This window comes from Homo sapiens, chromosome Y (genome assembly GCF_000001405.40).
Source record: "Homo sapiens chromosome Y, GRCh38.p14 Primary Assembly".
Lineage (NCBI taxonomy): Eukaryota > Metazoa > Chordata > Mammalia > Primates > Hominidae > Homo > Homo sapiens.
This window is the reverse complement of record NC_000024.10, coordinates 13,333,378-13,355,529: the sequence shown is the minus strand read 5'-3', so window position 1 is coordinate 13,355,529 and position 22,152 is coordinate 13,333,378. Positions and strand designations below refer to the sequence as shown.

Genomic DNA, 22,152 nt, shown 5'->3' with positions numbered 1-22,152 from the left:
GGAATTATATATTAAAGTGGATCTATTGTCTATATGTTTTTTTAGAGACATGAAATGTTATATGAAATTAGAGATGTATGAACTACACATTTTCAAAGTTACACAGCAGTTTTTCTTTTTTGTTTTTGAAGATGAGACACAAAGAAGTTGCTCAGGTACGAACTACTGGAATTCATAACGGGGCCATAACTGATTCATCACTGCCTACAAACTCTGTCTCTAATCGACAACCACATGGTGCTCTGACCAGAGTATCTAGCGTCTCTCAGCCTGGAGTTCGCCCTGCTTGTGTTGAAAAACTTTTGTCCAGTGGAGCTTTTTCTGCAGGCTGTATTCCTTGTGGCACATCAAAAATTCTAGGAAGTACAGACACTATCTTGCTAGGCAGTAATTGTATAGCAGGAAGTGAAAGTAATGGAAATGTGCCTTACCTGCAGCAAAATACACACACTCTACCTCATAATCATACAGACCTGAACAGCAGCACAGAAGAGCCATGGAGAAAACAGCTATCTAACTCCGCTCAGGTAAAAAAAGGACTAGCTGCTTTCTTGGCTCTTATATAGTAGTTTATCTTTATTTAGTTTGTGTACATTCTAAAAAGATAGAAATTTAAAGAATGGCTTTGTCTTTAAAAAGTAATTTAAGTAATTGATAAGAGTATAAAACTTTTAAGTGATACCAGGATCATTACAGGCCTACCTTGGACATCTTACAGGTTTCATACAAGACAACTGCAATAAAGTGAGTATCATAATAAAGCCAATCACACTAATTTAGTTTTATTTTTTAGTGCATATAAAAGTTATGTTTACACTATATTATGTCAGTTTGCAATTATAATTTGTGTAAGCAAACAACATCTTACTTTGAAAATATTTTATTGCTTAAAAAAAGAAAGCCTGTGATCATTAAGCAAGTCATAATTTTTTTGGCGGTAGACGGTCTTGCCTCTATGGTGATGACTGCTCATTGATCAGGATGGTGTTTGCTGATGAAGTGGCTGTGACCCCTTAAGACAACAACGATATTTGCTACTGTGATCTTCCCTCCCTTCCTTCCCTCTTTCCTTCCTTCCTTGCTCCCTCTCTTCCTTTCCTCCCTCTCTCCTTCCCTGCCTCCCTTTTTTTTTGAGACAGAGTCTCACTCTGTTGCCCAGCCTGTGCAATGGGGCTATCTTGGCTCACTGTAACCTCTGCCTTCTAGGTTCAAATGATTCTCCTGCCTCAGCCTCCAAAGTAGCTGGGACTACACGCATGCCACCACTCCTAGCTAATTTTTGTAATTTTGGTGGAGATGGGGTTTCACCATGTTTGTCAGGCTGGTCTCAAACTCCTGATCTCAAGTGAAGTGCCCACCTCGGCCTCCGAAAGTGCTGGGATTACAGGCATGAGCCACCGTGCCCAACAAACTCTTTGTTTCTTGAAAGATTTCTTTGTAGGATGCCATGCTATTTGATGTTTTCCCAATGATATAACTTCTTTCAAAGTTAGAGTCAATCCTCTTGAACTTTGCCACTGCCTTTATCAAATAAATTTATGTAATATTCCAAATCGTTTGTTTGTATCACAGTAGTTAGTGTTCACAGCATTTCCCCAGGAGTGGATTTCCTCTCAGAAAACCACTTTCTTTTCTCATCCCTGAAACAACAACTTCTAATCCATTCAAAATTTGTTGTGCACTTGCAGCAATTCAGTCACTTCTTCAGGCTCCACCTGTCAAACTGTCTTGCCATTTCTACATCTGTAGTTCCTTCCTCAACTGAAGTCTTGAACACCTCAAAGTCATCCATGAGGATTGGAATCAACTTCTTCCACATTCATTTTGACCTCCTCCCATGAATCATGAAAGTCCTTAATGACATGTTGAATGACTGAATCCTTTTCAGAAAGTTTTCCCTTTCCTTTGCTTTATTAGAGGAATTGCTGTCTGTGTTAGTTATATATAGACTTATGAAATGAAATGTATTTCTTAAATAATAAGACTTAAAGTCAAAATTACTTCTTGATCCATGAGCCGCAGAATAGATACTGTGTTAGGCATGAAGACAAATTTAATCTCTTTTTACATCTGTCAGAGCTCTTGAATGACCAAATGTATATTTAATGAGGAATAGTATATTGAAAGGAATCTCTTTTTCTGAGTAGTAGCTATCCATATAGACTTAAAAGTATTCAGTAAACCATGATGTCAACAGTTGGGCTATCACACAGGCTTTGTTATCCCATTTATAAAGCACAGGCAGAGTGGATTTAGCATACCTCTTTAGGGCTGTGGGATTTTCAGAATGATAAATGAGCATTGCCTTCAGCTTATAGTCACCAGCCTTATTAGTTCCTAACAAAGGTGTCAGCCTGTCTTTTGAGGCCTTGAAACCAGGTGTTAACTTCTCTCTAGTTAGAAAAGACCTAAATCACATCTTCTTCCACTGTAATCTTCATTGAAAATCTATTGTTTAGTGTAGCCACCTTCATCAATGATACTAGCTAGGTCTTCTGGATAACTTGCTGCTTTACCTTGCACTTACTTATATTATGGAGATGACTTCTTTCCTTCTCCCTCATAAACCAACTTCTACTGGCTTCAGACTTTTCTTCTGCAGCTTCCTTACCACGGTCAGCCTTCATAGATTTGAAGGAGGGGTTTACACCCTTTTTCTGGATTAGGCTTTGGCTTGAGGGAATATTGTCAGTGATGAGACAGCTTTTATCTAGACCACTAAAACTTTCTTTATATCATCAATAAGGTTGTTTTGCTTTCTTAACATTTGTATGTCCATGGGAGTAACAGTTTTACTTTCCTTGGCCTTCACAACTCAGCTAACTGGTACAAGAGGGCTAGTTTTATGACTGTCTTGGCTTTGGACATGCCTTCCTCACTAACTTTAATTGTTCTAGCTTTGGATTTAAAGGGAGAGATGTGGCTTGGTACAGTGGCTCAGGCCTTTAATTACAAGACTGTGGGAGGCCAAGGCAGGAGGATTGCTTGAGCCCAGGAGTTGGAGACCAGCCTGGAAAACATACCAAGACCCCATCTGTACGAAAACTACAAAAATTAGCAGGGCATGGTGTCATGTGCCTGCATTCCCAGACACTTGGGAGGCTGAGGTGAGAGGGTTGCTTGAGCACAGGAGGACAAGGCTGCAGTAAGCTGAGGTTGCACCACTGCACTCCAGCCTAAGTGACAGAGTGAGACCCTGTTTCAAAAAATTAAAAAAAAATCCCTAGTAGAACTTCTTTCAAAGTTATGAGTTAATCCACAAATCTCAGGTGAGAGATACGCAATGCTTCCTTTCATTCAAATGCTCGGAGGCCATTGTAGGGTTTATTAGGTGGCCTAATTTAATATTTTTGTGACAGGAATATGGAGGTCTGAAGAGAGGGAAAAAAATAGAAGGACTGGATGGCGGAGCAGTCAGAACACAGAACATTTGTTAATTAAGTGTGCTGCCCTATCTGTGGTGCCCTCAAACAATGACGATGGTAACATCAAAGATCCCTGATTACAAATCAGTGATACAATATGAAAAAGTTTCAAACAATTGAGAGAGTTACAGAGATGCAAAGTGAACACATTATGTTGGAAAAGTGGTACAGATGGACTTGCTTGCTTGATATCCACTGTTGCCACATACCTTCAATTTGTAGTAAACATAGTGTCTTTGAAGTTCAGTAAAGCAAAGCACAATAAAATGAGGTATGTCTGGACTACGTGGTAATTTAGTCTGTGCATGTAAGTTTATTTACAGTATTATAAATTCACGATACTGCTTTCTTTGTGGTTTCAGTTACCTGGGGGCAACTGTTAAATGGAAAGTTCCAGAAATAAACAGTACATACATTTTAAATTGCATGCCATTCTGAGTAGTGTCATGAAATCTTGTCCTGTTCCACTCCATTTGACCAGGATGTGAATCATCTCTTTGTTCAGCATATCAACACTGTACACGTTACCTACCCTTTATTCACTTAGTTGCTGTCCCTCAGTTATCAGATCAAAAAAAAAATATTGAGAATTCAGGACTATTGACAGTTTGAGGCATCCAGTGAGGGTCTAGGAATATATCCCCTACGAATATGAGGGACTGTTGTAGTTAAAGCTAGTGTACAGATAAATTACATTAGGTAGTATGGAAATCAGAGGAAAAGGGAAAAAACAATTATTACTTTACAGTTACACCAAATCTCATTGCTATTTCAATAAGACATAATGACATGTTTTAGAAAGTATCTTCAAGTAATATTTGCACATATTCCCTGGAGAACACCGCTACCATGCAAGCTGTTCAATATTTATTCTAGTGGAAGGAAAGGACTAGCAGAATTTAAATTACCATGAATTGTAATACAATGTGACATGAGCAAGTGCCTTGGGAGGGCCAGCACATTAGAGACCCAGATAATTGAAGGAATTTGCAAGGAGAAAGGGCAGGTTAAGGAGTGGCTGGAGAATAGCTTATGAAGAGGTAGTGTAGCAAGACAAGCCACAGACAAAACCCTCAGACACCCAAGTTAAAGAAGGAAGGGCTTTATTCGGCTGAGAGCTTAGGCAAGACTCATGTCTCCAACAACCGAGCTCTCCAAGTGAGCAATTCCTGTCCCTTTTAAGGGCTCACAACTTTAAGAGGGTCCATGTGAGAGGGTCGTGATCGATTGAGCAAGCAGCGGTACATGACAGGGGGCTGTATGCACCAGTAATCAGAATGGAACAGAACAGGACAGGGATTTTCACAGTGCTTTTCCATACAATGTCTGGAATCTATGGATAACATAACCAGTTAGGTCAGGGGTCGATCTTTAATTAGGCCCAGGGTGCGGGCTGTCTGCCTGTGGATTTCATTTCTGCGTTTTTACTTCTTCTTTCTTTGGAGGGAGAAATTGGGCATAAGACAATATGAGGGGTGGTTTCCTCCCTTAGTAGAATGAAAGTGAGGCCTCACTGAAGGACCTGCTTTATCTGATGGCACAGTAGAGCTATTAAGGTTTTATATACAGATATAAATTTCTTTTTATATACAGATATAAATTTCTTGAAACTTTGTTTATTTTTATTGACTAATATACTTTAATTTTTAGAGCTGTGTTCGGTATATAGGAAAAATTACACAAAAAGTAAAAAAGCTCCCATTCCTTTCCTCATCTCTCATGGTTTCTCCTATTAGCCATGTGTTCTAGTTACAGAAGTCTCTCCAAGTTTTTGTTTGTCTGAGAAAAATTTTTTCCTGGTTTTTGAATGGTAATTTTGCTGAAATTCCAGTTTGGGTTTTTGTTTCAATACTTTAAACATTTCTGTCTAGTCTCTCTTTTGCATGGAGTCTTAGTTCATTCAGAACACTATAACAAAATACTATGGACTAGGTGATTTATAACAAAGAAATTTCTCACAGTTTTGGAGATTGAGAAGTCCAAGATCAAGAGCTAGCCTACTTGGTGTCTTGTGAGATGGTTCATCTATGTTACTTTCTTGCTGTGTCCTCACATGGTGAAATGGGCAAGGAGTGTCTCTCAGGCCTCTTTTGTAAGGACACTAATCTCACTCATGAGGGCTGTACACCTTATGATCTTATCCCCTCCCAAAAGCCCAGTCTCCTAATAATTTCACCTTGGTGATTCAGTTTCAAAATAGGAATTGGGCGGTAAGGGTGGGCAGAAATATTCATTCCTTTAGTGCATATGTTCACAAGAGAAGTCAGATGTAATTCTTAACTTGGCTCCTCCATAGTTAAGCTGGGGTGTTTTTTTGTTCCTTAATTTTTCTCAGAATTTTTTCATTGCCTTTGCTTTTTTACAGTTTACATATAGATGTGTATTGTAGTATTTTTTGTTATTTATATTGTTGGATATTCTCCTAAGTTTTCTGGGTCTGTGGTTGGTTTCTGTAAGGTCAGCTGAGAGAAAAAACAAGAGAGAGAGCAAGACCCAAGTTCAGGCAAGCTTTTAGTAAACCTGCCAGCTGCCTTACCACAGACAAAGGAGGCAGCAGCCAGGTTACAGAATAAGGGATTGATACTTGGGGGTGGGATTATGCTTTCACTTGTATTCCCTCATATTTTGCAAGTGTTCTGTTGATGTGATAAAGTGTGATGAGGTGATAAAGTGTGTGGGAAGGAAGTGTTCTGTATTAGTTGCCTGTCTTTTAATGAGACTTTACCTTTTGGCTGATTCCTTCACAAGTGCTGGTCAGCTTTTTATTCCCCATTAAACAAGCAGGAAGGCTAGAGAGGCTTGGCATTGAGTATTTTCTGTCTGTCGTGTTGTTTAGGTTATAGTAAAACCCTAGCTGTGTTAGGCTCTGGCCAAATAATACAGTAATTTCCCTGAGTCATGCCTTTTTAAGAACGGATGCTCAGGAAACATTTCAGAATGTTTACTTTGCCTCTTCTCCTGTTAGAAGTTGTAGAGGTGTGTTTTCTAGTCTTTACTGTAAGATCCTATTAGGGCTTCTGGAGGTAAAACTTATAAAAATATGGAGATTCCCTAAGGCTTGGCCTCCCTGAAGCTTCTAACTCTCAAAAACTGAGCATCCATCAGTTTTTCAGTTACAGTTTAGGTTTTTCTCTTAGTGGTTCCAGCAGCAGTTTCTGTTCACTGCCTTTTGCTCTGGTAAGTTGTGATACTATGGTAAGATGTGAATCTGTCTGCCTGTGTGTTCAATGTGGGTGGCAGCAGTAAGTTAACCAGTCACTTCCCTTCTCTTAACCCTGGATAACTTACCACCAATCTGTTTTCTATGTGTATGGATTAACATATTATAGACAGTTTATACACATGGAATACTATAGTATGTGACCTTTAGTGTCTTAATTCTTTCACTGGACATTGTGTTTTCAAAGTTAGGGAATATATCCTGTTAATAAACCTTCTAAAATGAAGGTTGAACAATGCTGGACTAACATTTCAGTTTTCTTTTGTTTTTGATCAGTAGGAATTGAGTGAGGAAAATAAGAAATTTGTGTGATACAGGCAGTTTGTACAATCTACCAGCTTTTCCTTTTGATTTCCTCTTGATTTCTCTTATAGCTGTGTCCTGATTATCATACAAAAGTTAGCTCCTCAAAATAAGTTATGCTCTTTTAAAAATAAGTATTATTTGTATTGTTGTATTATTATATATTTTTTCCTTATAGTTTTGATTAATGGTTGGATAAATTCACCCATGTGGGAACCCATAGATACAAAGGGCGACTGTATCTTCATTATTCTCTCAGATCCTCCTCCAGGAGTTTCATCAAATATCACAATCTCAAGGATATCAGCTTTTTATTATCTTTCTGTTCATAATGTAACTCTTTGCTATTGTCTCCAGCATTCTCTACCCTCTTCTCTCATAAATTTTTCTGTAAGGTCCGTATCAAAACATAATCTAATATTATATATTCTAAATTATTTCCTTTACTTTTTATTTAATCAGCTGGGTAAAATAGGGAATTAGGCTGTTTCTATTCTGTTTTATCCCTTGAGCCTGAAAAAGTTAGATGTGGCCAAACCGGGTACTCAATACAAATGGCTACAAGGAACAAAAAGCTACCATTCAGTCTAAAACAGAGACTGTCCTTCCTGAAAGTATTTGAAGATTAAACTTAAAACTTGCCTTAAAAATTTATTTTGAAATGGTTAATTTTATGTGTCAGAATTGGTAGGGTAGGAAGCTCAGTTATTTTATTGCAGGAAATGTTGCGGGACAATCAAAGACTGGAGAGACCGAAAAAGGTTCAGGAGGGTTTATTAAGGTGATCACCGGCTCAGCTGGACATATGTCTAGAAAATCTGAGTCCCGAACAAAGGGCTTTTCCTACTTTTTTTTTTGAGACAGAGTCTTGCTCTGTCATCCAGGCTGCTGTGGGGCAGTGGCACGATCTTGGCTCACTGCGAACTCCGCCTCCCGGGTTCTTGCCATTCTCCTGCCTCAGCCTCCCAAGTAGCTGGGACTACAGGCGCCTGCCACCATGCCCAGCTGATTTTTTTATATTTCTAGTAGAGTCAGGGTTTCACCATCTTAGCCAGGATGGTCTCGATCTCCTGACCTTGTGATCCACCTGCCTCAGCCTCCCAAAGTGCTGGGATTACAGACATGAGCCACCGTACCCGGCCCTCCTACTTTTAAACATCTAAAAAGCGAGAACTACGTGAGGTGGGAAGGAAGTTACAGAAGTGAGAAACAAAGGCAGTTAAGCATTACGACATTTCTTAAGTCTTGAGAAAAACATGTCTTGCATCCTAAACTTACCAGTCTTGTGACCCTGAAGCTGTGCTAGGGAGGTAAGCAGGAACTTGCTGAGCCTGTAATAAACTTTGAGGAATGTGGAGTTGGGGAGTATAGATAAGGTCCACTGATCACAAAGAGAAGACAGGCTGTTAATATTCTCTTTTAACTTGAGTGTAAGTTGAGGGGTGGGAGGTCACATTTTGCAGCAACTTTTAAGAGGATTTTAAAATTTCTACTACTACTACTAATAGGTTATAGTTGATTTCATTAATTCCTTCTTCATTTCCCCCCTTTGGTGTCCCACACAAATGTAGATTAGTAAAGTGCACCACAATTAGCTATTTCTTCTTGAGTGGGTACATACTTATCTTGGGATACCGGTTGGTACTTTTGCAGAGCCATTATTCAGGTGATGGTATGTCTGTGTACCGTTGGCTTCTGTGGTGGATTGGATGCTTCTGATGAGAAGTGGCAGGAGACAAGGAATAAGTAGGCATCCACTTATTACGGTGGTAACATGATTGATATAGTGTTGGGAACTGCAAAAGGGATTAAAGTCTGACACAGAGGAATTGTCTATAAAGCTTCCCATTGTGTTCTGTTTTCGGATTTTGCAAGATATTGTTGACCTAGGCAAGTCGTTGCCCCTCCCTGGTTCTGAAAGGCCTTGTCCCAATGGGTGATGCAGTATTTTCCAGTGATGGGGTTCCTTAACAGCCAAACACTTGGATTTGCATTGAATTTGTAACAAATTCAGGTAAGGTAAAATTTTCTTGTGGCATCAATTCTTAGGCTCCCATATTGGTACCTCCACATATATAACATACAGTAACTCTTAAATTGTTAGCAGTACTTTCGGCTAGCTGGGCAAACAGGTTTTCAGCTGATATAGGAGGAATTTGATTTTTTGATACTTCAGGATTAAAGTGTTCATTGAAAGATGTATAAAACCTAAAGTGTTGCATTGGGCTAACTTGAACTTGGGTCCTTTGGGTTTTCCTGGTAATGACCAGAGGAATACGAAGTCCTAGGAGTGCTCTTTCCTGATCAAAGATTAGTAGCCCTTTAGGCCCTTTAGTCCAGAAAGGCATATTTGGCTTTAGTATTGTCAGATTGAGTGGGTTGCAAGTTCCAGTTGTGCACCCTATCTTCACCTCTTGGCTGGCAAATAGAGCAACCCTTCCTGTGTATAGGTGCTGATAAATTCATGTGTGGTCCACTGATTATCACAATCAGGGCACTCCTTTTTGGATTTTCCTGTTACAGCCTTGGTAGCTCTGCTGCTGACTCTTTCTTGTCCTAGATTTTTACGGATGGTCCCAATAGTATTTAGTTTACTGAGATGTGAAGCTTGGCAGGCATCAAAATGTATGGAGACAGGGCCTTTATGCGAGTGAGGGAATACTTCTTTTTTGTTTACAGGTTTACTGACCCTGATTTCTGTGGGGTTTATATATGATGGCATTAGGGGTTTGCCAGTTTGGACTTCAAACCAAAAGTCATAGGGCACGAACTCTGGGTCATTACATACTTGGGGCTGCCTGTTTCCACGATCACAGACCAACTAGTCTGGTTATAGACACAAGTTCCTGTATGAGTCCCTGTCCACTCATAGTAGGTCTGGTATAACATAGTTTTAGTCATACCTTTTCTGGACCAGGCTTCTATCATACAGTGATGACAGTCATCTTGGTCCCCTTTTATAACCATAGGTGAAAGTGTCAGTGACTTCAGTATTACCAATATGATTAAACTTATACTGTGCATGGGCACCCTTCTGGGCAAAAAGCTTGGCAGCATTTGCAAAGATAACATGACAGTAAAATAATCAGTACAAGAATTTAATTATGCTTGTAAATTCAGTCCACATTTACTTATCTATTATTGACTTCCTCAGGCTTCAGCCATGCATAGACTAGTCAGCTTCCAGTTGTCTGACTAGAGCAGGGCTCAGTGTTTCCCTAAGGTTCAGCTGTGCTTGGACTGACCAGCCTCCGGTATGGTCAGAGCAGGGCAGTTATCCTTGTCAGCAGTGGCATAGTTTTGCCGCAGGATCAACTGTTTTGGGTAGTCTGGGTTTTGTTGACTGGCCGCGGGTCCTGAGTTGTGGTCGCTGCTGGTTTCAGCTGGCTGTGATGAACCCAAGGTGTGATACCTGCAACAACAGCAGTGGGGGTAGACAAGATCACAATATGGGGACCATCCCATAAAGGCCCTAACGTGGTTGGGTTCCATTGTTTGACCCAGACAGAGTTTCCAGGTTGGAAGGGATGTACTGCATCTATGAGACTAACAGGTATTCTTTCTCTTACCCACCTTTGTATTTCCTGCATGGCCTCACCTAAGGCTTGCATTTGCCTTCTTAAGGTTAATTCCCCAATTTCTTTTAAATCCCCTTTTATCTGAGTTATGATTGTGGGTGGTGAGCCAAACACCATCTCATAGGGTGAATACCCAGTTAATTTAGTAGGGTGCCTCTGACTCACAGAAGGACCATGGGCAGCTCCTGATTTCACCTTAGATAAGTTTCCTGGCAAAACCTTTAACAGCTGTTTGAGTGTCTCCTTCATTCTTTCAACTTTTACAGAACTCGGTGGGCAATAAGTTGTATGCAGATTCCATTTGATTTTTAACATCTGTTAGTTGTTGTACTATCTGCTACAAATGCTGGGCCATTGTCTGATTCTAAAGTTAGAGGCAGTCCAAATCTAGGAATAATCCCCTTTAGTAAGATCCTGGTTACTTCCCGAGCTTTCTCTGTCCTGGTGGGAAATGCCTTGACCCACCTTGAGAAAGTGCAGACAAACACTAGCATGTACCGGCAGCCTCCAACTTGAGGCAGCTCGATAAAGTCCACAGGCAGGTTTTCACAGGGTGTAGTCCAGTTTCTTGAATCCCTGGGGGCCATGTTGGCCCCTGCCATGGATTATTTTGGGTACAAGTTCAACATTGCTCACAAATGGCTCAAGTGATGGCAGTTAGGCGCAGAACATAGAAATGCCATCCAACAAGAGTCTCTAATGCGGTTTTTCCCATATGTGTTCCTTGATGAAACTGCTTTATGAACTGGGTGGCTATTGCTTCTGGGATGACAAGCCTCCCATCTGAGAACTTTCACCAACCTTTCTGTTAACTTCCACTCTCCTGCTCAAACCAGGTCTTTTCATTAGAGGAGTAGTTAGCGGGTTCTGTAAGGGGAAGCTCTAGTAAGGGCATGGTAAGGGTTTGCCCTTCCTTCTTAGTTACCTCCATCATTGCAACTCTTTTGGCTTCTCTGTCTGCCTTCCTGTTTCCTCTAGCCTCATCACCTCCTGCCATTTGATGCCCTTTGCAATGGATGACTGCTACTTCTTTTGGAGCTCTTTCAGAGCAGCTTCTAAGAGCAACTCTATTTCCCTTTTATTTTTGACTTCCTTTCCTTCAGTAGTTAATAATCCTCTTTCCTTACATATGGCTCCATGGGAATGCAAAATGGCAAAAGCACACCTTGGGTCAGTATAGATGTTTACTGACTTTCCTTTGGCCACGAGCGATGCTCTAGTGAGGGCTGTTAGCTCAACTCTTTGGGCTGAAGTTCCGACCAGCAGAGGGCAGGCTTCAGCCACTAGATTCAATGCCTCACCGTATATCTAGCCCTTCTGACACCTTCAGATATGAAGCTACTTCATATCTGAAGTATCATATCTGCTTCATATCTGAAGCTGCTTCATATCTGAAGTATCATATCAGTAAAGTATTCCACATCTGGATTTTTTAAGTGCTGGTCCTTTAAGTCTTTTTGGCTTGAGAAAACCTCATCTACCATTTCCACACAACAGTGATAACCTGGGCAACACAACGGGGGCTTTCTGTGCTCTGCCCACTCTTTTGGCAGCAGTGTGCGTGGATCTAGAGTATTCAGAGTCACCAGGATTATGTAGGGGTTTCCACACAAAAGTTCTTGATATCTTAACATCCTAGGGTTAGAAAGCCAGCCATGCCCCCTCTGCCCCATCAGGGTGACGATCGTATGGGGCACCTGAATTATCAACCTCTGTCCAAATGTGAGCTTGTTAGCATCTTCTGCTAACAGGGCAGTGGCTGCCACTGCCTTGAAACAGGGAGGCCATCCCATAGCCACCAAGTCTAGTCGCTGGGACAAACATGCCACGGGCCAATACCATGACCCTAGTGTTTGTACCAAGACTCTTATAGATATTCCTTTTCTTTCATAGATATACACGTAAAAAGGCTTTGTCATGTCTGGCAGTCCTAATGCCAGGGCGTGGATCAAAGCCTTCTTGATTTCCTTGAAGGCCATGTCCTGCTCTTTTCCCCACAGGAGGGGTTGTTTTCCGCCACTTTGGTAGCCTCATACAGTGGTTTTGCTAAGAGCAAGTAACATGGAATCCAAATGCGACAGAAACCAGCTGCCCGTTTAAACTTCCACACTTGTCTAGCGTCAGGTCAAGGAATGCTACAAACAGTCTCTTTTCGCCCACGTCCACACTCAAGCTGCCCTTGAGAGAGGTTAAAGCCAAGATACCTTGCTCTTTGGCCACAGATTTGTGCCTTTTCCTTAGAGACCTTATAGCCAGCCTCCCACAGAACATCAAGGAGGCTTTTCTGTACCTTGAAAGCACTCTTTTGTAGGTGCATAAATCATCTATGTACTGCAACAGGACACAGCGGCCACTTCGTGGCATGAAAGCCTTCAGGTCTGAGACAAGTGTGTCCTCAAAAATGGTTGGGGAGTTTTTAAATCCTTGGGGGAGTTTGGTCCAAGTATACTGTGATGAGCCCCACTCAAAGGCAAAGATGCCCTGGCTTTCAGGAGCTAGTCAGATGCAGAAGAATTCATCCTTTATATCTGAGCACATAAACCAAGCAGTGTCAGCAGGAATTCGCCCAAGCAGTGTGTATGGGTTGGGCACAATGGCATGTGATGTAGCTGCAAGTTTATATATGGCCTGCAAATCCCGTACCGTCTGGTAATCTCCAGAGGGCTTTAACACCAGTAGTAATGGAGTGTTTCAAGAAGAGGCACATCTTTCTATTATCCAGATTTAAGGAGCTGAACTGTATCCTTTGTAATCCCATGGGTGGCTTTGCTAGGATGGGATGCTGACCGATTCGCACTGGTGTCCCGCAGCAGTTCCACCACTGTGGGGTCCTGATTTATGGCTAGCTCTGGGGATTGTCTTCTGCCCACACCCCTGGCAGCCTGATAAATAATTCCTTATACATTGCCTCATTTTCCCACTTGCAAAATGCATCTTTACAAATTTTGCATCTCTCGTAGTCTCCATTCCTCTGTTGTGGGGATGGTAAGGGTCATTATCATGGCTTTTCTTTGACCTAGGTTTAAAGTCATGTCCCCTTCTCGGGTAAAGGAGATTTGTGCTTGCAATTTCTGGAGCAAGTCTCTTCCTAACAAGGGCACCAGACTATTTGGCAAATATAAAAATTCATTTTGGACTTCCTGTCCTCCAGTCACACATCTTTTAGATTTGAAGTAAGGCCTCTTTTCTGTTACTCCTGCAGCCCCATTTATATTGACATAATTTTTAGACAGTGGTCCAACTGCTTGAGTTCCTACCGAATGCTCCACACCAGTATCGACTACAAAGTGCATTTTCCTGCCCCCTACCTCCATTGAGACCGTAGGTTCCTCAGGGCCTAATGAAATGGAGCGTGGTCTGTCTCAGTTCTCATAATAATCATTGATTCCTGCCAGTCTAATTAAATCCGTGTCTGACTTGTGAACCCCTTGACCGTCAGCAGGGGGTTCTGGCCAGCCATTTTGTCCCTGATTGTTGCCTTTATACTTTTCTCTTTCTGGGTATTCATTCTCCAGTGTACCATCTGCTTGCCTCTCGCACATTGATCTCTCTCAAGCGTAGGTCAGCCCTCTTGTCCTGGCTTAGCTTCCTGGTTTTGCCTTGCTTGTCCTCCACCACAGCCATGTCCTCTCACAAAATTAGTTTCTCCTCCAACTAAGACCACCGCCATCAAGTCTACCTTTTCCTTAGCTCTGCATCTAGCTTTTCTCTTGGCCTCCTCATCCTGATTTAGAAACACCTTAGTAGCCACTTGGATAAGCTGGATAATATTCATGCCTTCAAAACCTAACTTCTGAAGCTTTTGCTTTACGTCTCCTCGTGCCTGACTTAAAAATGCTGCATTAACCATACACTGATTACCTGAAGCCTCTGGGTCAAATGGCGTGTAAAGTTGCTGAGCCTTGCAGAGCCTCTCATAAAATTCACTGGGACTTTCATCTGGCTCTGGAGGACCTCTGAGACCTTTTTGATATTGGTGGCCTTTTCCCCTTCAGCCTTTATTCCATTTAGGAGTGTCTTTCAATACCGTTGCAAACTTTGTAGCCCTTGAGCCTGGTTAGGGTCTCAGTCTGGGTCAGCCTCTATCGGGAGTGCTTATGCATACAGCCTGATATCTCCTGTGCCTGCGGTCGCATTGTTCTCCAGCCACTGGAGAGCGGCTTGTATAACTACGGCGCTCTTCTGTATTAAATAATGACAGAAGAAGTTTGCAATCATCCCAGGTAGGATTGTAAGTTAGGAAAATAGACTGCATTAGATCTATAAGAGCCTGAGGCTTCTTTGTATAGGAAGGAGTAGGTTGTCTCCAATTTAAGAGATCAGTAGTAGAGAAGGGCTGATAAACGAAGAGCTGTTCGCCCCCTTGGACTTCATTCTGTGCAGTTAAATAAATTTGTCCCCGTGTTTCTTGAAGGGGTGTCTGCATTGCTTGGGCATGACCTGACCTAAGGTGGCCTACCTCATCCCCCTGGAGTTTCTCCCTTGGCTTTTCAGGCAAGGACTGTGGTTCCTCTCTGTGTGGTGTTGTCTGAGGAGTGCTTTCTTCTGAGTCTGAATCTCCGGAGGCGGCCAGGGCAGCATCCTTCCTGTCTAAGCCCTCTTTGCCAGGGATGGATAAATTGGTGCATGGGGGGGTGGACTTTCTAACTTTTCATTTGGGGCCTGTAGGACAGGTTTTTTCTGCTTTTCCTGTGACTCCTTTTCTTTTTCTGATGCCTTGCGGTCTCTTCCTGTGGTTCCTGGTTTTGTCCGGGCCATTAGAGTCTTACAATAGGTCCCAAAGCAGGCCTGCAGCCACTTAGTGTGACTTTGAATTACACTTAGCCAGGAGTTGATATACGAAAACTGATCCGGGTACCCAGGCTGTTCTCCAGCCCCATGACTACCCAGAACACTCAGCCAATTATTTCCCTGTCTGTTGTCCCTTTGGCTGGCCACCCTACATTAAAAGACGGCCAATCTATCTCACAAAGGGTTCTCTGTTTCTGTGGAGTTAGTTTAACCCTATAATCACCATTAAAACCTTTTTTAAAGTTTTTCAGCATGCACTCCAGTGGAGTAGGCTTTGACATTTTTCCTCCCACTTCCCCACTCACAGCACGCTTTCACTTTTGCATCCACCAGTCCAGATCCTATTATGGGAGGTTTGGACACTGCTTAGCCAGGAGCGTACCTTAATTCCTGTCACAGCTCACTGCAGCCGTGGAACTGGTCCTATGGGCCATATGCAGTGTCCTAGGTCTGGTTTTTCTCACACTTGCCTCAGAGCACACAGTCCCTGCTAACAGATCTGTGCTTCACCACATCACGCCCTGTGTTGGTCTCTCCCGAGACCGTCTCTTTCACACACTTTCACACACCTCCCGCATTCCTGAAACAGTTTTCCTTTCTGACCAACTTGTGAGCTCCACCCACATCTGGTATCAGTTAGGGCGTGAGTTTCATCTGGGTCAGTGGAGCCTCTCCTGATGTTCCCAGCCCCCTTGGGTCAGACTAGTCATCACGCCCTGGGAGGTAATCCGGCTGCCTTTCCATCCTTATGGGACAGGTCTTGCCTTATGGCCCAATCCTTAGCACGGTTTAGATGTCTGTGCACTGCTTCCGTGACTGTCCTGCAACACTTTCTACCTGTTCCATTTGTGCTGTCAGGGGAAGTCTCTGGAATATGGGAGGGCCATTCTCCTTCTGGGCTGAAACTCTCCTGGTGGTGCTAAGGACCCCAGGGCTCTAGCCCACTGGCAAAGGAGATAGAAAATCTGCCATCTCCAATCCCAGACAAAGCCCCCAGAACTGTTTCAGGACAATCAAAGACTGGAGAGACCAAAAAAGGTTCGAGACAGTCTATTAAGGTTATCACTGGCTCAGCCAGACATATGTCCAAAAAGCCTGAGCCCCAAACAAAGGGTTTTTCCTACCTTTAAACATCTAAAGGCAGGAACTGTGTGATGCGGGAAGCAAGTTACAGAAGTGAGAAGCTAACGCTGTTAATCAAGCATTACAACATTTCTTACATCTTGAGAAAAACATATCTTGCAGCCTAAACTTACTGGTCTTGTGACCCTGCAGCCACAAGACCCTGCAGCCGTGCTAGGGAAGTAAGCAGGAACTTGCTGGGCCTGTAATAAACTTTGAGGAATGTGGAGTTGGGGAGTATAGATAAGGTCCACTGATCACAAAGAGAAGACAGGCTTTAAATGTTCTCTTTTAACTTGAGCGTGAGGTGGGGGTCACACTTTGCAGCAACTTCAAGAGGATTTTAAAGTTTCCATTACTACTACTATTAGGTTATAGTTGATTCCTTCTTCACTCAATGTTCTGTGAAGGTGCTCTGTAGATAGGATTAACATTTGTGGCCAGGCGCAGTGGCTCATGTCTTTAATCACAGCACTTTGGGAGGCCAAGGCAGGTGGATTACTTGAGGTTAGGAGTTTGAGACAAGCCTGGCCAACATGATGAAACCCCGTTCTTTTTTTTTTTTTTCCATTTTTGAAACAGAGTCTTGCTCCGTCACCCAGGCTGGAGTGGATTGGAGTGGCGTGATCTTGTCTCACTGCAACCTCTGTCTCCTGGGTTCAAGCAGTTCTCCAGCCTCAGACTCCCAAGTAGCTGGGACTACAGGCACACACCACCTTGCCCAGCTAATTTTTGTATTTTTATTAGAGACAGGTTTTCGCCATGTTAGCCAGGCTGGTCTCAAACTCCTGACCTCAGGTGATCTGCCTGCCTCAGCCACCCAAAGTGGCTGAGATTACAGGCATGAGCCACCACGCCCAGCCATGAAACCCCGTTTCTACTAAAAAAAAAAAAAAAGAAGAAAATAATTAGCCAGGCCAGTTGGCACGTGCCTGTAGTCCCAGCTACTTGGGAGGCTGAGGCACAAGGGTCACTTGTACCTGGCAGGTGGAGGTTGCAGTGAGCCAAGATCACACCGCTGCACTCCAGCCTGAGCAGCAAAGCAACACTGTATCTCAAAAAAAAAAAAAAAAAAAAAGGATTAACATAATTAACTGACTTTATAGAGATTACCCTTTATAATCTATTTGGTATATTATATTTTATAATAGAATTTTTATGGCTCTGTCTCATACATTTAATTAAGTCATTTTGAGTTAATTTTTGTACATTGTGTGAGAATATCCATTTTGCGTAAGGATATTTGATTATTCCAGCATCATTTGTATAAAAGTCTTATTCTTCCCATCTTGGCAACTGTGTCAACAATTAGTTCATAATCTATGTGTGGATGTATTTATAGACTCTTTTGTCCTACTCCTGTATATAGTTTTTCTTACACCAATTCTACACAGCCTTGGTCACTATAATTTTATAGTAAGTTTTAAAAATAGGTAAATGTAACTCCACCTTTTTGTTATTTGTCTCTATTCTAATAGCATGGTATTACATTGCTTGATTTTCACATGCAAACCTACTGGCTTTCTGAGATAAATCCTCGTTTGTCTTGGTGCATAATTATTATATATTGCTGGGTTTGACATGCTAATGTGTTCTTAAGGATCCTGTTGTCTATATTCAAGGGAGATGTTTTTTTCAGTGATATATTTTACTGGCTTTCACTGGTGTTAGAGTATAACTGGCTTTCTGAAATGACTTAGTGAAGGTCTGTCCTGCTGTATATCCTGAAAAGATTTTTGTTAAGATTAGTATAATTTCTTCCTAAAATGTTGTTTGTAGGATCTCTGGTGGTATAATCTCTTTTCTTTCTACTTTGCCAAGTTTATATATACTGTTATGATATATTTAGCTGAAGGATTTTTTTAAGTGATGTCCATCCTTTCAAAGACCAGTTGTATATGTTTTTTAACAAATTTTTTCCATTGGTTTTGTGTTTTCTATTTCAGTAATTTTTTTTCCTTCTTACCTGTGTTATTTATTCCCTTGTATTTATTTTTGGTTTGATACTCTCTTCACAACATCTTAAATTGGTATTTTATCTTTTTGATCTTAGACCTTTATTCTTTGATAACCTAAGTGCTTGAAGCTATAAAACCTTCTATGTATTGCATTAAACTAAATTTTGATATGGTATGCTTTTATTTTTATCAAGTTCAAAGAATTCTCTAATTTATTTTGTCATTTCTTAACTTGGCCCATAGGAAATTTAGATTTCTGTTTAGTTTTCACACATTTGGGTATTTATAGGACTTTATCTTTTTGATATTTGATGTAATTCTTTTTCAGAAAACATACTTTCTATGATTTCAGTTCTTTTAGTTTTATTGAGACTTTTTTTGCATAGTCTGTGGCTTATTGTGAATGATATTCCCTGTAATAAATATACTTCATGTATTAAGTATAATAACCATACATGTTTTTCCACATCTAAATTTTGAGATACACTTTTATTCAGCTAAAAATGTATGTCAGAATTAAACAATTTAAACTTTAAAAAGCCTAATGTGAAGAAAATTGTTCACATATTAGTAAATGAAATTAAGCTGGCAGGTTAGATCATTTTCTCTAAAAATACTAACCACTTTAATCTGTTGATTACGGGAACTTTTAAATGATTTTGAGATTTGGCTTCAATTATGTTACACAAAATTTAGTTTATTTATGGTGGCTTTGTGTTTAACATTTTAATCCTCAAGAGTTTTCTGTATATGCATTTCAGCTCCCATGATATTAAATTTCAATTTTTTTTTTTTAGGGGCTTCATAAAAGTCAGAGTTCATGTTTGTCAGGACCTAATGAAGAACAACCTCTGTTTTCCACTGGGTCAGCCCAGTATCACCAGGCAACTAGCACTGGTATTAAGAAGGCGAATGAACATCTCACTCTGCCTAGTAATTCAGTACCACAGGGGGATGCTGACAGTCACCTCTCCTGTCATACTGCTACCTCAGGTGGACAACAAGGCATTATGTTTACCAAAGAGAGCAAGCCTTCAAAAAATAGATCCTTGGTGCCTGAAACAAGCAGGCATACTGGAGACACATCTAATGGCTGTGCTGATGTCAAGGGACTTTCTAATCATGTTCATCAGTTGATAGCAGATGCTGTTTCCAGTCCTAACCATGGAGATTCACCAAATTTATTAATTGCAGACAATCCTCAGCTCTCTGCTTTGTTGATTGGAAAAGCCAATGGCAATGTGGGTACTGGAACCTGTGACAAAGTGAATAATATTCACCCAGCTGTTCATACAAAGACTGATCATTCTGTTGCCTCTTCACCCTCTTCAGCCATTTCCACAGCAACACCTTCTCCTAAATCCACTGAGCAGAGAAGCATAAACAGTGTTACCAGCCTTAACAGTCCTCACAGTGGATTACACACAGTCAATGGAGAGGGGCTGGGGAAGTCACAGAGCTCTACAAAAGTAGACCTGCCTTTAGCTAGCCACAGATCTACTTCTCAGATCTTACCATCAATGTCAGTGTCTATATGCCCCAGTTCAACAGAAGTTCTGAAAGCATGCAGGTTAGTGTGGGAAAATTCTTCACAAAATGAAAATGGTCAACTACTGGCCAGATGAGACAAATAAAATGTGATGTGATATGTTAAGAAATGTAACATGCTCAAAAGATTTATAGAGTCACTCATATAAAACAACAATTTTTTTTGTTGTTTTATATGTTTAAATTTGTCATAAGGAAATTTATTATGTTGAAAGTTGTGGGTTGTTTTTTTTTTCTTTAAGTTCTAGTATACATGTGCAGAATGTGCAGGTTTGTTACATAGGTACACATGTGCCATGGTGGTTTGCCTCACATATCAACCTGTAATCTAGGTTTTAAGTCCTGCATGCATTAGGTATTTGTCCTAATGCTCTGCCTCCCCTTGCCCCCAGCCTTTGACAGGCCCTGGTGTGTAATGTTACCCTCCCTATATGCATGTGTTCTCATTGTTCAACTCCCACTTAGGAGTGTAAACAATGCGGTGTTTGTTTTCTGTTCCTGTGTTAGTTTGCTGAGAATGATGGCTTCAGGCTTCATCCGTGTCTCCACAAAGGACATGAACTCATGCTTTTTATGGCTGCATAGTATTCCATGGTGTATATGTGCCACATTTTCTTTATCCAGTCTATCACTGATGGGCATTTGAGTTGCTTCCAAGTCTTTGCTATTGTAAATAGCCCTGCAATAATATGTGCATGTGTCTTTATAGTAGAATGACTTATAATCCTTTGGGTATATACCTAGTAATAGAATGGCTTGGTCAAATGGTATTTCTGGTTCTAGATCCTTGAGGAATCGCCACACTGTCTTCCACAATGGTTGAACTAGTTTACATTCCCACTAACAGTGTAAAAGCATACTATTTCTCCACAGCCTCGCCAGCATCTGTTGTTCCTGACTTCTTAATGATCATCATTCCTACTGTTGTGATATGGTATCTCATTGTGGTTTTGATGTGCGTTTCTCTAATGACCAGTGATGATGAGCTGCTTTTCATGTTTGTTGGCAGCATGAATATCTTCTTTAGAGAAGTTTCTGTTCATACCCTTTGCCCAATTTTGATGGAGCTTTTTGGTTTTTTCTTACAAATTTGTTTTAAGTTCGTTGTGAGAAGTGTTCATACCTTTTGTCCACATTTTGATGAGGCTGTTCTTTCTTGTAAATGAGTTTACGTTCCTTGTAGTCTCTGGATGTTAGACCTTGGTCAGATGGAAAGATGGCAGAAATTTTCTCTCATTCTGTAGGTTGCCTGTTCGGTCCGATGATAGTTTCTTTTGCTGCGTGTTGGGGTCCAGCCTCATCACCACCCGTGGGTACCTGAAGTTCAATGGTGACAAAGAAATGAGAAGAGACAAGAGTTCATAAAGGTGGGAGCCAGGGGGCCAGTGCAAAATGTGGAGGCTGCAAAGGCTTAGAGCTCTGGTCTCCACACTGTTGAGTACAATCACTTAGATCTAAGAAGCAGACGTTCAGGGCGAAACGGTGAAAGGGAGGCAGTGCGTCATACACATAATCTTATAGCAGTGGCAGTTTAAGTGAATCTCTTTTGTGCTCAATCAGCATATCTTTAACTTACTGAAGAGCGGCTGGTGGGAGCAGGCTGAACTAGGAGGCTGCATGTCCAGCCACATTCCAGTGCTTCAAAGGAGTGTCTTTCTCCTTTAACACACTGTTTCTAGGTAAGAGAGCAGGTCTTGCTTAGAGCATGGGAACATAATGGTGATAAGAAAGCTTTCCTCCTCAGAGCCCTTTTATGGCTTTCCACAACTTATTGTCCCATATTTTTATGGCCAGTTTATACAGGCACTCCATAAGCCTTTCCCCAACAGCTATGCAAAAGCTGTTTAGTTTAATTAGATCCCATTTGTCAATTTTGGCTTTTGTTGCATTTGCTTTTGATGTTTTAGTCATGAAGTCTTTGCCCATGCCTGTGTCCTGAAAGGTATTGCCTAGTTTTTCTTCTAGGGTTTTTATGGTTTTAGGTTTTACATTTAAGTTTTAATCCATCTTGAGTTAATTTTTGTATAAGGTGTAAGGAAGGGGTACAGTTTCTGTTTGCTCCATATGGCTAGCCAGTTTTTCCAACACCATTTATTAAATAGGGAATACCTTCCCCATTGCTTGTTTTTGACAGGGTGTCAAAGATCAGATGGTTGTAGATGCGTGGTGTTTTTTCTGAGGCCTCTGTTTTGTTTCATTGGTCTATA

The 22,152-nt window shown here is 41.3% G+C and overlaps 1 protein-coding gene across 123 annotated transcripts in view; it reads left to right on the top strand.

The window, feature by feature from the left end:
• UTY (ubiquitously transcribed tetratricopeptide repeat containing, Y-linked) overlaps positions 1 to 22,152 on the top strand; it is a 246,776-nt gene that overhangs the window by 125,141 nt on the left and 99,483 nt on the right. For 54 of the 123 annotated variants that reach the window (NR_047602.1, NR_047635.1, NR_047646.1 and 51 more), the window contains 2 exons: positions 132 to 527; positions 19,195 to 19,967. Coding sequence is in view for 67 of the 123 variants with exons in the window: in XM_011531447.4 (XP_011529749.1) it covers positions 132 to 527; positions 19,195 to 19,967 (1,169 nt within the window). In the remaining 56 variants the exon portion in view is untranslated. Of the gene's footprint in view, position 1; positions 528 to 696; positions 745 to 19,194; positions 19,968 to 21,189; positions 21,313 to 22,152 lie in introns of all 123 variants that reach the window. The other 69 variants (NR_174404.1, NR_047613.1, NR_047634.1 and 66 more) reach the window with 10 other exon arrangements.